Genomic DNA, 13938 nt, shown 5'->3' on the forward strand with positions numbered 1-13938 from the left:
TTCATACCCATCTTTCTTGGGGAGGCTTTCCAGCTATTTGAAAGGACTAGGGTTTTGTGATCTAAGCTGTATCTGCTTTAGGAGGCAGCAATGCTCTGGGTCTTGCAGACTCATAGAGGTACTACCTTGATGTTCTTGGACAAGATCTGGAAGAATTCTCTGTATTACTAGGCAGAGACTCATCTTCTCTTCCTTTACGTTCTCCCAAACAAAGAGAGTCTCTCTTTCTCTGTTCTGAGCCACCTGGAGCTGGGGATGGAGTGACACAAGCACCCCTGTGGCTACCACCCTTAGGACTGTGCTGGGTCAGACCTAAAGCGAGAACAGCACTGGGTCTGGCCCAAGGCCTGCTGTAACCACTCCCTGGCTACCACTTATGTTCACTCAATGCTCTAGGGCTCTACAATCATTAGCTGGCAAAACCAGCCAGGCCTATGTCCTTCTCTTCAGGGCAGCAAATTCCCCCAGGTCTTGTGTGGGTCGGGGGGCCATCCAGGCACCAAGAACTAGAGTAAAAAACCTTAGAACTCTACCTAGTGTTCTGTTGTGCTATTTTTGAATTGTTTTCTTAGTGGGTGTATGTTAGCCAGGGTTCTCCAGAGAAACAGAAACAATGGGCTATATAGAGATATGTAGGAGGAGATTTATTATAGGGATTGACTCATGGAACTATGGAGGCCAAGAAGTCCAATGATATACTGTCTGCATATTTCCTGGGAAACCAGGAAAGTCAGTGGTATAATTTAAGTTCAAAGGCCTGAGAACAAGACTACCTGATGACATAAGTCCCAGTCCTGAAAACTTTAATCCTGGTGTAGGGTGTACACTGGTGGAACTCTATTTCCTGAGAACTTGAGTTGTGGAGGCATTGGAAGTCCTGAAGTCCAAAGGCCCAAGAACCAGTAGTTTCAATATCTGAGGGCAGGAGAAGCCGAATGTCCCAATTCAAGAAGAGAGAGAAAATTAACCCTTCCTCTGCCTTTTTATTTGATTCATGCCTTCAACAGATTAGATTATGTCCACCCACATGGATGAGGGTGGGTCTTCTTTGCTCAGTCTGTTGATTCAAATACTAACCTTGTCAAGAAACACCTTCACAGACACACCCATAAATAATTCTTTACCAGCTATCTGGGCATTCCCATTCCTTAGGCCAGTCAAGGTGACATATAAAATTAATCATCACAGGTTGCTGTTAGAATTACAACATCATAATTTATAACAATCTATTTCAAGTTAATGCCAACTTAATTACAATAATATACACAACTTTGTTCCCATATAGCCCATCCCCTTTCCCCTCATTTTTTGTTGTTATTGTCATGCAAATTATAATACATAATTCCAAATTTAGATATCCTACTCTTTACTGATCATCTCCAGTACATTGTGTGCCCTTGGATACAGAAAAAATATGAAATGCTTTGCAAATCTTAAGTCATCCTTGCACAAGGGCCATACTAGTCTTCTCTGAATTGTTCTAATTTTGGTATATGTGTTGCTGAATTGAGCACAATGTAATCCGATTTTACCATTAAAAACTTCACTCTGACAGCATGAAAAATGGATTAAAGAGGAGGCCAGTGTGGAGGTAAGAAGACTGATACAAGATGCTGGAGTAAACAGATAAAAGATGATAGTAGTCTAAACTGGAGTTCAATACTGAAGTGTTAGAGAACAGAGGCTGACGACAAATTTGAAAAATGTTAAAGATATAATATTAACTAGCTATGGTGACTGAATGTAGGGTTGAAGAAAATAGAAGAGGAAAAATGTTTAGCTTTCTGCATCATGTAACTGAAGGGATATGGTGCTATTCATAGAAACAGATAACATTGAAATAGGAGCTTTGGGAGAAAATGCAACAAGCTCAGTTTTAGACCTTTTGAATTTGTGATACTTGTTGGATATTCAAATGGAGACTAGAGATGATCAATAAAGAGTGCGATATCTAGATTTGAAACTAAAGTGAGCAATATGAACTGTGAGTATAGTATAGATTTGAGTGATTAGTATGTAGATAGTAATGGAAGCCTAGTAAGTTTATTAGAATGCCCAGTAAGAGTGAATATAGTGATAATAGAAGAAGAAGAAGGATGGAATTCCAAGGAACAGTAATATTTGACTTTGAGGAAAAGATTCTTCCCAAAAAAGAGAAGGAGAAGCCCTAGAAGTGCCTGGACAAGCAGGAGAGTGTGTTGTCATGAAAGTTGAAGGAAGAAAGTATTTCCAGAATCAAGGTGCCACAGAAAATAAGGACTACAATGTTTTCATTGGATTTAACAATAAAGAAATTCATTAATAACTGTGGTACATTAAAGATAGCTGTAAATTATTTGCTGTTCTCTCTATCAAGAAGTGAAGTCTATTTGCTTTCTGTTGAATCTGGGCTGGATTGGACTTGTATTGACCAATGTGGCAGAAGTGAGGTTCTTTAATTTCTGAGGCTGAGCAGCTTCTATTTTCACAAGGTTGAAATTGTTCCTCTTGAAATTCAGCCATCATGTTGAGAGAAGCCCACATGTAGAGAGGCCAGGAGGAGAAGGACTAACTTCTAGCTGAGTTCCCAACCAAAAGCAAACACCATCTGCCAGCCATGTCAATGAGCCATAGTGGATGTTCCAGCTCAGTCAAGCCTCCAGGTGACTGCAGTTCTGTGCAGAACAGAGGAATTGTCTAACTGAGCCTTGTCAACCCACAGAATCATGGCAGATAATCAGTGGTGTCTGTTGTTTTAAATGACTAAGTTTTGAGGTAGTGTGTTACTCAGCAATTGACAACCTATTTTCTTACTATTTTGTAAAGTCCATAAGAGCAGCTGTCCTGTTGGGGAACTGCAGGTGTAAATTGCAATGGGTTGAAGAGTGACTTGAAGGATAGAAACTGGAGACATCTATTTTAAGAAGTGGACTGTGAAAGAGAGGAGCTATTTTGAGTGGTATTGGAAGAAGTTCTGTATTTGACAAAGGATGTTTTGTTTGTTTTTAATAGGAAAAACTTAAACGGTATTTAAGAAGGGGTTAGTTAGGTGGTGCCTCATGCTTATAATCCCAGCACTTTGAGAGGCTGAGGCAGGAGGAAAGCTTGAGGCCAGGAGTTCAAGACCAGCCTAGGAAACACAGTGAGAACTCATCTGTACAAAAAAAAGTCAAAAACTTAGCCAGGCATGGTGGTACATGCCTGTAGTTCCAGCTATTTAGGAGATTAAGGTGGGAGGATCATGTGAGCCCAAGAGGAGGTCGAGGCTGCAGTGAGCCATGACTGCACCATTGCACTCCAGCCTGGGTGACAAAGTGAGACTCTGTCTCAAGAAAAGAAAAAAAAAGTGTTAGTTTAAGGAAAAAACATTGAAGACACAGGAGAGATGGGTTAATTGATGGAGCAAGGTTCCTGAGGAGACAGGGAAAATGCTGTCTTATTCAGATGCCCCTAGAAAGGATCTGATTGGTTTCATTAGATATTATCCAATTTGGATGCCTGGATGAGTGAACTTTCATATCCTACCTCCTCAGCAGTCATCCTATGGATGGCTGCCTATGGCTCAGGCACTAATACATTTTCTAGTCATCTATGGCTAGAGTATTTAGGTAGTATTGTTTAGGGTATTTCAGGCTATGAGTAATAGAAGACATATCTCAAAGTGGCTAAAACATACATCTGAAGTTTGAAGGTTGATTAAATCAGCAGCTCAAAAGGTATCATCAAGGTTCCAGGTTCTTTCTATCATTCTGCTCTGTTGTCTTTGGACTTTTATCTTGTTCTCTTAGGTGTCCTTCCATAATTGTCTCAAGATGACTGCTGCAGTTCCAGGGGTCATATTCAGAAGATAATGTCAATGGACAGAAGTAAGTTTCTCCATGCAAGTCCCTTTCCAGAAGTATTCTAGCAAACTACTCAAAAGTTTAGAATCTCATTATATGCCCAGTCAATATTGAGGATGATTTTAGGTAGATTATTTAAACTTACTGAACTTCCATTTGCTCATCTGTAAGACAGGTAGCAAAATATCTATCTCAAGATTATCATAAGGAATAAAAGAGTTTTATATTAAGTGCATCACCTAGTGTTTGGCCCATATGTCCTCCATCTTCCATCCTGTGTCTACAGTTCATTTTCTATGAAACATACTTGAGGTTCTCTCCTCCCATTTAAAAGACTACATATGGCTTAAAATAAAATTGATTCATGAGAACACAGGGACACAGGGAGGGGAACATCACATACCAGGGCCTGTTGGGGGTGGGGGGCTAGGGGAGGGATAGCATTAGGAGAAATACCTAATGTAGATGATGGGTTGATGAGTGCAGCAAACCACCATGGCACGTGTATACCTATGTAACAAACCTGCACGTTCTGCACATGTATCCCAGACTTAAAGCATAATTAAAAAAAAATTGATTCATCTTCTGGTGCTAGAGTTTACTCTCCTGGAAATACTCAGAAGAGAGGAAAAAAATAACTGGATGTCTATTAGAAAAGAAAAAGGATGGACGGACAAAGGAGAATGTCTGCTCCATGGGACCACCAGTGTGCAAGAAACTGTTCTGGTTGTCTCATTCTTGGGGTGTAAAAACTCCTGGGTTCCAGGCAGGAACTGCCTGGGTTCCAGGCAGAGTTTCCTGTCTGGGAAAAAGGGAGAGAGCCAGTGCACAGGTGGGGATCCAGGGCACAGATGGAGTATAGGTGCTGCTGTATGTGTTGGGTAACAGAGGTGAACATTCAGCATGATTTATTCTTATTCCAAGTATATACTGTATAGGATGGCCCTGGGCTTCACCACAGGCCTAAGATGGAGCCAGAATAATAAATCATAAAATTCCATGGGCTCCAAAGAGAATGTAACCTGAATACTGAATAGTATTTGCGTTATCATGTAACTAAGGCAAAAATAAAATACCGTGCATTCTCACATGCCTTGTGCTTTCTCTAGAAACAATTAAATTTCCCATCTAGAATCTCCCTTTGCTTATCTCAATAGACACAGTGCCATCTACTGAAAATAAAGCACCAATAGCCATGGTACCCTGAGGGATTCCCAGGAGAGCCCCCCTCTCTGTGGGCTCCCTGTCTCACCCACCTCCCAGATGGACTGGAGGGAGTAGGCGGAATCCACAGGCTGTTCTCCTGTCACAAACTGTAATGCATCTGTTCCCTGGTGCTTTCCGTGAGCAGCGAGAGTAAGATGTTCCTGAAGGGACCTAGGGAGCCTGGCAAGGCACTTACAGTGTAAGTGAAGGCTCTTTTAGGCTACCCTCTTGCCTTCAACCAAGTATAAACTGAAGCTATTTTATATAGTGGAGGCATAGTTTTTATATTCAATCATAACAAGGATGAATGACATGTCTTCCTTTGGGTAATTAGGAGATGTTTCTTTCCACACAATAGTGTAGCAATGTGTTTAAGTACGTTTACCCTTCTGTGAAATTTTTAATGGGTACAATGGATAAGAGATTAATAACAGAATCCTGGACCATTATCAAGTCAGGTATGTCTTTGGGAAATGTGGATAACCTAGGTTGCTGTGAAATTCACTTAGGCGAAAGTCCACATTTTAGTTCATTATGTCCTCTCCAGGTGGCAATGTCTCTTGGTCTCATACATGGAGAAATGGAGAAACAAAAGGAGACCGTTTCTGATTTAGCCACTACAATTAATGATAAAATAGAAAATGGAAGCTTTAAAATACACAGCCCTCTGCAGGACATACTCAACTCTTGCCCTCACCACCTCTCACTTTACCATTCCTCCTCCCAAGGAATCTTGGCTCAGCATGTCAGGAAGCCCTTCAGGGACCGTTTATAATTTAAAGCTCTGGTTTGAACTGATTCTGATTTGGCTTTTGGTAGTCAGATCTGGCATCTCTTCCATTTGCCCCTCCAAATCTGGCCCCATTTTCTCTGTTGCATTTACTGCTCATTCTTTCTGCTGTCTTTTTATTAGATTTTCCAAAGCAAAACTCCCTGCAGTGAAGTCTGTGGTCTGGTAATTTATCACAGATATTCTTGAAATTGCCTCATTAAAAGGGGCATTCGAAGCTGAAACCTAAGCGTCTGTTACCACGGTAACCACCGGCAACTATTTAGAACAGCCTGCTTAAACCAGAGGGGTAGAGGATTGCTGTTGGCAGAGATTGAAGGTAGGCAACTAAACTCTACTGGGCAGGGGAAAAGGCCTATAGATTCTGATGTGGAATTCTCAACCTCAAGTCAGATATCCTTCTACATAAGACAAAATAAGTTGGTGCCATGCTCCTGAGTTCTCTCCTGCATGTAGTCTAGGAAATTTGAAAATTGAAAATTCTTTTCACCATCAGATTACCAAGGGAGTTTGAATTAAAAATGTATACCTCAAAATTACTTGATCATGCTTTGCATGTTCTTGAGCCAGTCATTTGCCTCTCAGTGCCTCAAGTTCTTTGTACATTTTTTTAAAAAGTGGCCACCATGAACTCTATATGTCTTAGTCTGTTTGTGCTGCCATAACAAAATGCCTTAGGCTGGGTAACTTATAAAGAAAAGAAATTGGTTTCTTACAATTATGGAAGCTGAGAAGCCCAAGATCAAGGTGCTAGCATTAATGTTTGGAGAGCTGCTCTCTGCTCCCAAGATGGTGCCTTGTTGTTGTGAAATCTGCAATATCACGGGGTGGGAGGTGGAAGAACAAGAGAGCCAAACTTCACTTACTCAAGGCCTTTTAAGAGGGTACCTAACATCATTCTTGAGGGCAGAGCCCTCATGATTTAATCACCTCCCAAAGGCCCCACCTCTTAACACCATCACCTTGAGAACTAAGTTTCAGTATACAAATTTTGGGGGTATACACACATTCAGACCATAGCACTATGTCAGCAGGTTATGTGAATTATCAGTGAGGCAATAAAAGTGAAGCCTTTTTGTTAACAAGGTGCTACATTCAAGTAGACTAAAACTCACATTTTGAATCTATAACTGTTCTCCAGAATGTCTTATGGATTGCCATTAGGCAAGCTTCTTCTCTCAAAACAGAAACAAAATCAAAAACAATCACAATTCCTCCAATAGAGAGTAGTGTCAAAATAACCTTATTTATTGCCTTTCCAAGCCAGGATTCTCCATACTTTCCATTATCCACAGGCCTGTAAAAGAGCTAACAGTGCCTGTTAGGCATATCTTGAAGTACTACAAAGGTGGTTATAAGAAAAATACATTTGGTAAATAATGAAGATTACAAAAAGTACAAATGACATTCCTTTGTCCTGTTTTCTTGGTTTCCCAGTGCAATTTTGGATAAAATATTAAAGAGACAATTAATCAGGAGTGCTGAGCACTGTATGAAAATAGAGAGAGATGCCAGGTCAGGCAATACATATGGGTAATTTAGAAAGATCTATATTTTTAAAAGTAGTTAGATGCTTGGGAGTATTTTGTATGTACTGTTTTCTTAGTAGAAATATAGTGCATTAAATCAACAGGATTAGACAAATATGACAGATGGAAAAACACATCTTGGTGAGCAAAGTATGGAGGGATGAAGACATGATAAAGAAGAAAAGACTGCAGAGTGTTGATGTTCTTGTGACAAGAAGAAGGGGGTATGGCCTGGACTGGAGTCGTGGTAGGAATGGTTATGGAAGACAGTAACAACAATAACTAGTGTCATATGAAAAGGGATTGAGTTATGGATATAAGTGGATGCATTAAATCTGCAAGATCTAGAATTTCTTCAGCACTGCACTCCTTTTGTTGTTTTTCATACTGTCACAACTGCATTAATCAACTATTAGTGAATTTTTGACGACTCATTCATGTACCTACGAAGGAACAGGGGTAAGCAGAGCTCATTCTTCGGGTAGTCTTAAGTAGGCAGCCTGCGAGCTCAAATGTTCTAAATTTCCTTCTTTTCACCAAGTAGGTAGGGAGGTCTGAGCTTCCCGGAGATAGGTGGGGTGTGGAGGAGTTCATGGAACATCAAAAATATTGAGATGTTCAAATCAGAATGGATTCAACATCAAAGAGAGATCTTGCACATATTTCAGAAAAGGTGAACAAAGCAATTCCACATAAAATTGCTTGTTTTGTGGCTGTTAATGAGAAAATTCCCAGAAACATACCTTTTACTGTTTATGTCTCAGACCTTGTAAATCATGAAATGCAATTTCAGATTGTAGTGTAAGACCTATAGAGAAACGTGGGTATTGCTGTTAGCTGTAAATACAGTTCTTTATTATGATTGCAGCTTGTTCTCCCTAAAATAAAATTCAGCATGTGCTGAATTTAAGTTTAGCTTGGCTAACTTTTCTGCCAGATAGAATATAAGTACACTGCATATAATACTGTGTTAGCTTTTTTTTTTTCAACATGAACTCAAATTTTGAATGTTCTTATCAGTTTATTATTAAACCTTCATGCAAAAACAAAATGGGAAAATGTAAGGGCATAATCTGTGGCATCAGATAGAACTGTTTAGATCTTGATTATGCCACTTACTTGATTGCTAATCCTTACTTTCCTTATCTATAAAAATTGGATGATAGATATGCTTACCTCATATGGTAGCTCTGAGGTATAAAGGAGACAATGAATGTAGACTTTGTTGGGATACTTACGTATCCTCAGTAAATAATACCCATTTTCCCCACCCAAGTTCTGAACCAATTTAGAAACAGACAAGAGTAACGCAGGCAGGAGACCATTATCATTGATAAAGCTGACACTGGAGAACTTAGGCTTCCTGACGCTGAATACCAGAAATAGACAGGCTCACCAACTGGTATCAGGTAGTCCTGGACAATGGGTCGTTCCACCGGGAAAAGGTCTTTGCCACTATGCTTACAGCTTGCCTAAAATCATGCTCCCTGTGAGAGTTGCTACCAAAAGAGAAAGAGGCTGGAATACAAATACCCAGATTCTCTCAACTTATCCTTGCCAGGGGAGGATAAATGAGGAGGTGGAAGTATCCAGGAATGTTACAGCTCATGCAGCTCTCTCTCATGGGAGGAAACAGCAGGAGTGGAGAATGAGTATTCCCTCCCACAGAATGATTAGCACAGTGCCTGGCACATGCTAATTTATTATTTGTCATCTATGCCTATTATATTTACTGGTTCTTAAGGAAAAGTGAAAATAAATACAAATTATACTTTGAACATATGTGAGAGTGGTAGGTGGCAAGTTTTAGAGAGATTGATAAAACCTGAATAGTTAAGGTCCTTATATGTCATAATGTGCATTTTCATTTTGTTTCGTAGATAATGGATAACCAAAAATAATCTTAAATCAGGGAGAAACCCTCTATTAAGTCTGTTCTTACACTGTTATAAAGAACTACCTGAGACTGGCTAATTTATGAAGAAAAGAGATTTAATATACTCATAGTTCTGCAGGCTGTATAGGCAGCATGGCTGCGGGGCCTCAGGAAACTTAAAATTATGGCGGAAGATGAAGCAGAACCAAGCATATATTCATCATGGCGGAGCAGGAGATGGAGAGAGAGCAAAGGGGGAAGTGCTACACACTTTCAAACAACCAGATCTTTTGAGAACTCTATCATGAGACAGTACTAGGGGGATGGTGCCAAACCATCAGAAACCACCCCTATGATCCAATCACCTCCCACCAGGCCCTACCTCCAACACATAGGGTCACAATTCAACATGAGATTTGGATGGGGACACAGAGCCAAACCATATCAAACTTTCAAGTTTGCACTTTAGAATATGAACTCTTTCTTAGACTGTTTCATGTTGCTATAAAAGAATACCTGAGTCTGGGTAATTTGTAAAAGTAAGAGGTTTATCTGGCTCATGGCTCTGCAGGCTGTATGACCATGACACCAGCGTCTGCTTCTGGTGAGGGCTTCATGGAGCTTCCACTCATGGTGGAAGGCAGAGGAGAGCAGGCATCACATGGTAAAGGGAAAGAACAGAGAGAGAGAATGAGAGAGAGAGGAAGAGGGGTGGGGAGGGAGGTGTCAGACTCTTTAACAGATCTAACAGGAACTAAGAGTGAGAACTCACTCAATCCCGCAAGAATGGCACCAAGCCATTTGTGAGGGATTCATCCTCATGACCCCAACACCTCTCTCTAGGCCCCACCTCCAACATTGGGGATCAAATTTCAGTATGAGATTTGGAGGGGACAAATATTCAAACTATATCAAACTCTAACTGCAGTATACAACATAGAGAAGATGAACAGTCTCCCTGAGCCAGGCACTATGGTATGCACCTAATAGAATGCTCTCTCTTTTAATCCTCACAGCAATCTTGAGAATAATGCCACACTCACATCACTCCCATTTTAAGATTGCATAACTGAAACTTTGAAAGTTTAAATAATTTAGCCAAGATACTCAGCTTATAAATGAAAAAATCGAGAATTTGATCCCATATCTACCTGACTCTAAAACTCAGGACTGGCTTCATGGGCCCGTGACCAGTACAGTCACACAGAGACCTGAATTTAGAAGGGCTCTGAGCTTGGTTTCATGCTCTGCTGTCTCAGTATTAAAATTCTTAATCATTTTAGAACAAGGAGCCTGCATTTTCATTTTGCATTGGGTCCCTTAAATGATGTAGCCAGTCCTGCCAAGATATCTTTTCTTACTATTATTCCAGTCACCACTATCACCAAATCGGAAAGATTCTACACAAATAAAACTCCCCTTTTCATCAGAGTTATGGAAAAGTAATGAGTCTAGGTGGAAAATTAATATGTGGATGATCGTATATGGGTGTTTCTGCATTTACACGTGTAAATGTTCACAATTCAGAGCCCAGTCATTGTCACCACTCTTTTCTCAAACATTTTTTTTATTCCTAGGGACTTCACCAGTGCTGCCATGCTGGCCCCAGGCTGTGAGTTGGACCCAGACCAAGAAGTGGTGAGGACAAGGCCTGAAGGTTAGTGAGGGAAGAGGAGAAATACATTCATGTCTAAGCACATGTGTCTGGTCATATTCCAAGTCTCAGTACAAATTAATTTTGAATTATGTGGTTGATGTTTTCCACATTTCAGCTTCCATCAACTGGCACAAATAATTAAGGGATGATGCAACACATATTGGTACAATTTCTCAACTTTTTTAGAGCTAGGCCCACTGAAATTCAGGTAGCTACTACAGACGATGGAAGAGGTTATTTTAGAAAAACATGCTATGTGAACAGCCCTACACTGGTGCCTTATTTTCAATCACCTTTTTAAACCATGAATTCATAATACTCTTTAAGGTAGTTGACCACTCTAACGATCCCTTTAATACATAATTTTTAAAAAAAAATAGAAAAAAATTGAAAATACAAAAAGAAAGACCCCAGAAAAATTATTCTAAGTCTTTCTGCATTTTTTTCACAGGCACATACACACACATACACAGACTTACAAAATAGAAAATGGTGGGCATAATTTTTTGTAATCTGGATTTTTTCCTACTTATACTGAGCATTAATGGTTTTGAAAAAAAGCTATAATAGTTTTTTTGGTCATTTAAATGATTTCCTGTGTTTTTTTTTCTATGAAGTCCATTGTTGTAAAAAAATCTGATTATTTTCTTAAGCTAAAGTGAAATATCCTATTCAAAGGACATATACACTCATAAGACCCTTGATATATATTGCTAAATTGTCTTCAAGATTGGTTTTACCAGTATATAGTCCCAGCTCAATGTGGGAATGCCTGTTTGCATAAACCTGTTTTTAAAAGTTCAGATCTAAATCTATTTGGTTTTCTCCTTCTAGCTGCTTATCAACCAAGGTGCATACTTTGGACTAAGGGGAACAGAAGATGCCTTGCCACTCTACCATACACACTGTGACCACATGATTGTAGAGGCAACATTGCCTCTCTCCACTGGAGAGAAGAGCTTTTCTTGGTTTACTATAGCTTTGGCTATATCTTAGCTTACCATACCTTTAGTGAGGAGATACAACTATTGCCTAAACATACTTTTTTTTCTTTTTTAAGCTAGGCTATAATATTTATTGAGCTCTTTTTTCTTGCTAAATGATATTATTAATTTATTCTCTCACATATTTCCCTAGAACTTGTTTACTCCCTATTGAATAAATGTATGGCTTTTTTCCAATCTGAAGTCAGTGTTAGTCATGTTGCAATGTTGTTGCCTAATTTGGGGTCTCTAAAATGACTTGTAAATAAGAATTAGATCCCAAAGAAAATTATTCCGGCTAATTATAAATCTTTGAAAGTTATTTTTATGCTTTAGTTGTATTCTGTGAGGATTTACTATGGCCTTCTAGAGCTTTCTAGAATTAGAGAAGAAACAGCCTGAAAACCAACCTTTTGAGTAAGCTCAGACTCAGATATTACTCATAGAAGCCCACATACTTAGATCCTTTTCTAAATCCTAGGATTGCTTTAGGGGACACATATCGATGAAGCATATTGATTAAACTTCAATGAGAAGTTTAATAGGAAAGTCTTTCTTATAAAGAAATCCTCTCTGGCCAGAAATTGAATAAGTAATTTTAGGGCAACATGACATGTTTTTGAGTGATAACTTGGATTCTGAAAAGACATTTATTCAGTAATGCTAATAAAGTAATCATAATTCTTTTCACTGATTGCTTTCATCTCAAGTAATATTGTTTAATCAACTGCAGAAGGACCAAGAGAATAACACCAACTTGACCTTTGACTTTTAACCTCAACAGTGTGTCTTCACATCACTGCAGTAGCAGATTGCTGCAGTTCTTCCCTATTGTTTTCTCAAACGTTTCTTTGGAAACTCTGAGGGTAATTCATTTGCCTGTAACATCAGGGAACTGCTTGTCTGATTATTAGATCAAATAAGAGGATGAACTAGGGAGCTTATCAAAAAATCAGTAAAATATAGTTAGGACACTACATAATATTTTGTGTTTGGACCTCCTATTTTTTTTTATTTTTATTTTACTGCCAGTCATTCTACTGCTCATTTTGGGAACCTTTGCTCATTTCTTTATTATAAGTTTACCATTTTATAATATACCATTGAACATCTGTAAAGGTCTTCACATTTTTAGGTAGCTAAAATTGGATGTTAATATTTTTTTGGAAACTTGTTGCCTGGTAGTAATAAGGAGAAAGTGGGACTAGAAACTGGAAATAGCTATTTTTAAATTGTTAGCAAATTCTTCTGTTTATAGAGGTAAAATTTTGAATTTACTTTTGAGGACAGATTGCTCCTTCACTTCCATGCCTTAATTCCCAGACACATATATTTTGATTATGGGGAAGATGCCACCATGGTCTCTAATTCAAAGCATGTACCACATCCTGTTAAGACAGAATATCATCCTTTTAAGCCGTTGTCTCCCAGTTGGCACCATAACAGAGTCTTCAGTGAACTATTCCAGCTTTGAAATAGCCCAGCCATTTCTGAGAGATTGGGTGTGTGATGAGGCATTTAGATCATTGCTAGGAAAACCTTCATCTGGGGAAGATGCTTTGAAAGGGGATGTTCATTTTCCTTAAGATGCACTACAATCACCCCCTCTTACCACTAAACGTTTGGACAGGTCCAAATCTCAGTATGTTGTAGGTGGATAAGTACACACAATGACCTGGGAAAAATTAACTTGCATGCCCCAAACATTTCAAGACTTTGCTAATAAATATATAGCAACAGAAACCTGGGGAACATGTGTGAGAGTATGTTCTAAGGGTCTTTTTCATAAGAAGATACAATATTAGATTGGGTTAAATCATGGATATGGGTGTACTTAGTAGAGATTCTGGATTTAATGTATTAGCTCATGCAACTGGAGGTGGTTTTAACATCTTTCTTGGTGGATTGACTAAAACTTGGACTCAATGGTAGTCTACATTTAATGGGGATGCCATGCCAGAGCTTCCTTGGCATGCTATGGAGAAGGGAATCCACAGGCTTAGGACATAAGGTTGAACTGGATTTATCATGTGCAACCTGGTGCCCATCCTCCCACCTAATGCTCCACCAGAAACC

General features: G+C 39.2%; 1 protein-coding gene and 1 pseudogene across 1 annotated transcript in view; one reads left to right on the forward strand and one right to left on the reverse strand.

Moving 5' to 3' along the window:
- On the reverse strand, nt 1409–1514 carry RNU6-932P (RNA, U6 small nuclear 932, pseudogene; annotated as a pseudogene).
- Nucleotides 10799–13938, forward strand: part of UPP2 (uridine phosphorylase 2) — a 140976-nt gene continuing 137836 nt past the window's right edge. Inside the window, exon 1 of the mRNA NM_001135098.2 lies at nt 10799–10879. Within this exon, the coding sequence (NP_001128570.1) occupies nt 10819–10879 (61 nt within the window). The 5' untranslated portion in view covers nt 10799–10818. The remainder of the gene's footprint in view (nt 10880–13938) is intronic.

Source organism: Homo sapiens, chromosome 2, assembly GCF_000001405.40.
Source record: "Homo sapiens chromosome 2, GRCh38.p14 Primary Assembly".
Lineage (NCBI taxonomy): Eukaryota > Metazoa > Chordata > Mammalia > Primates > Hominidae > Homo > Homo sapiens.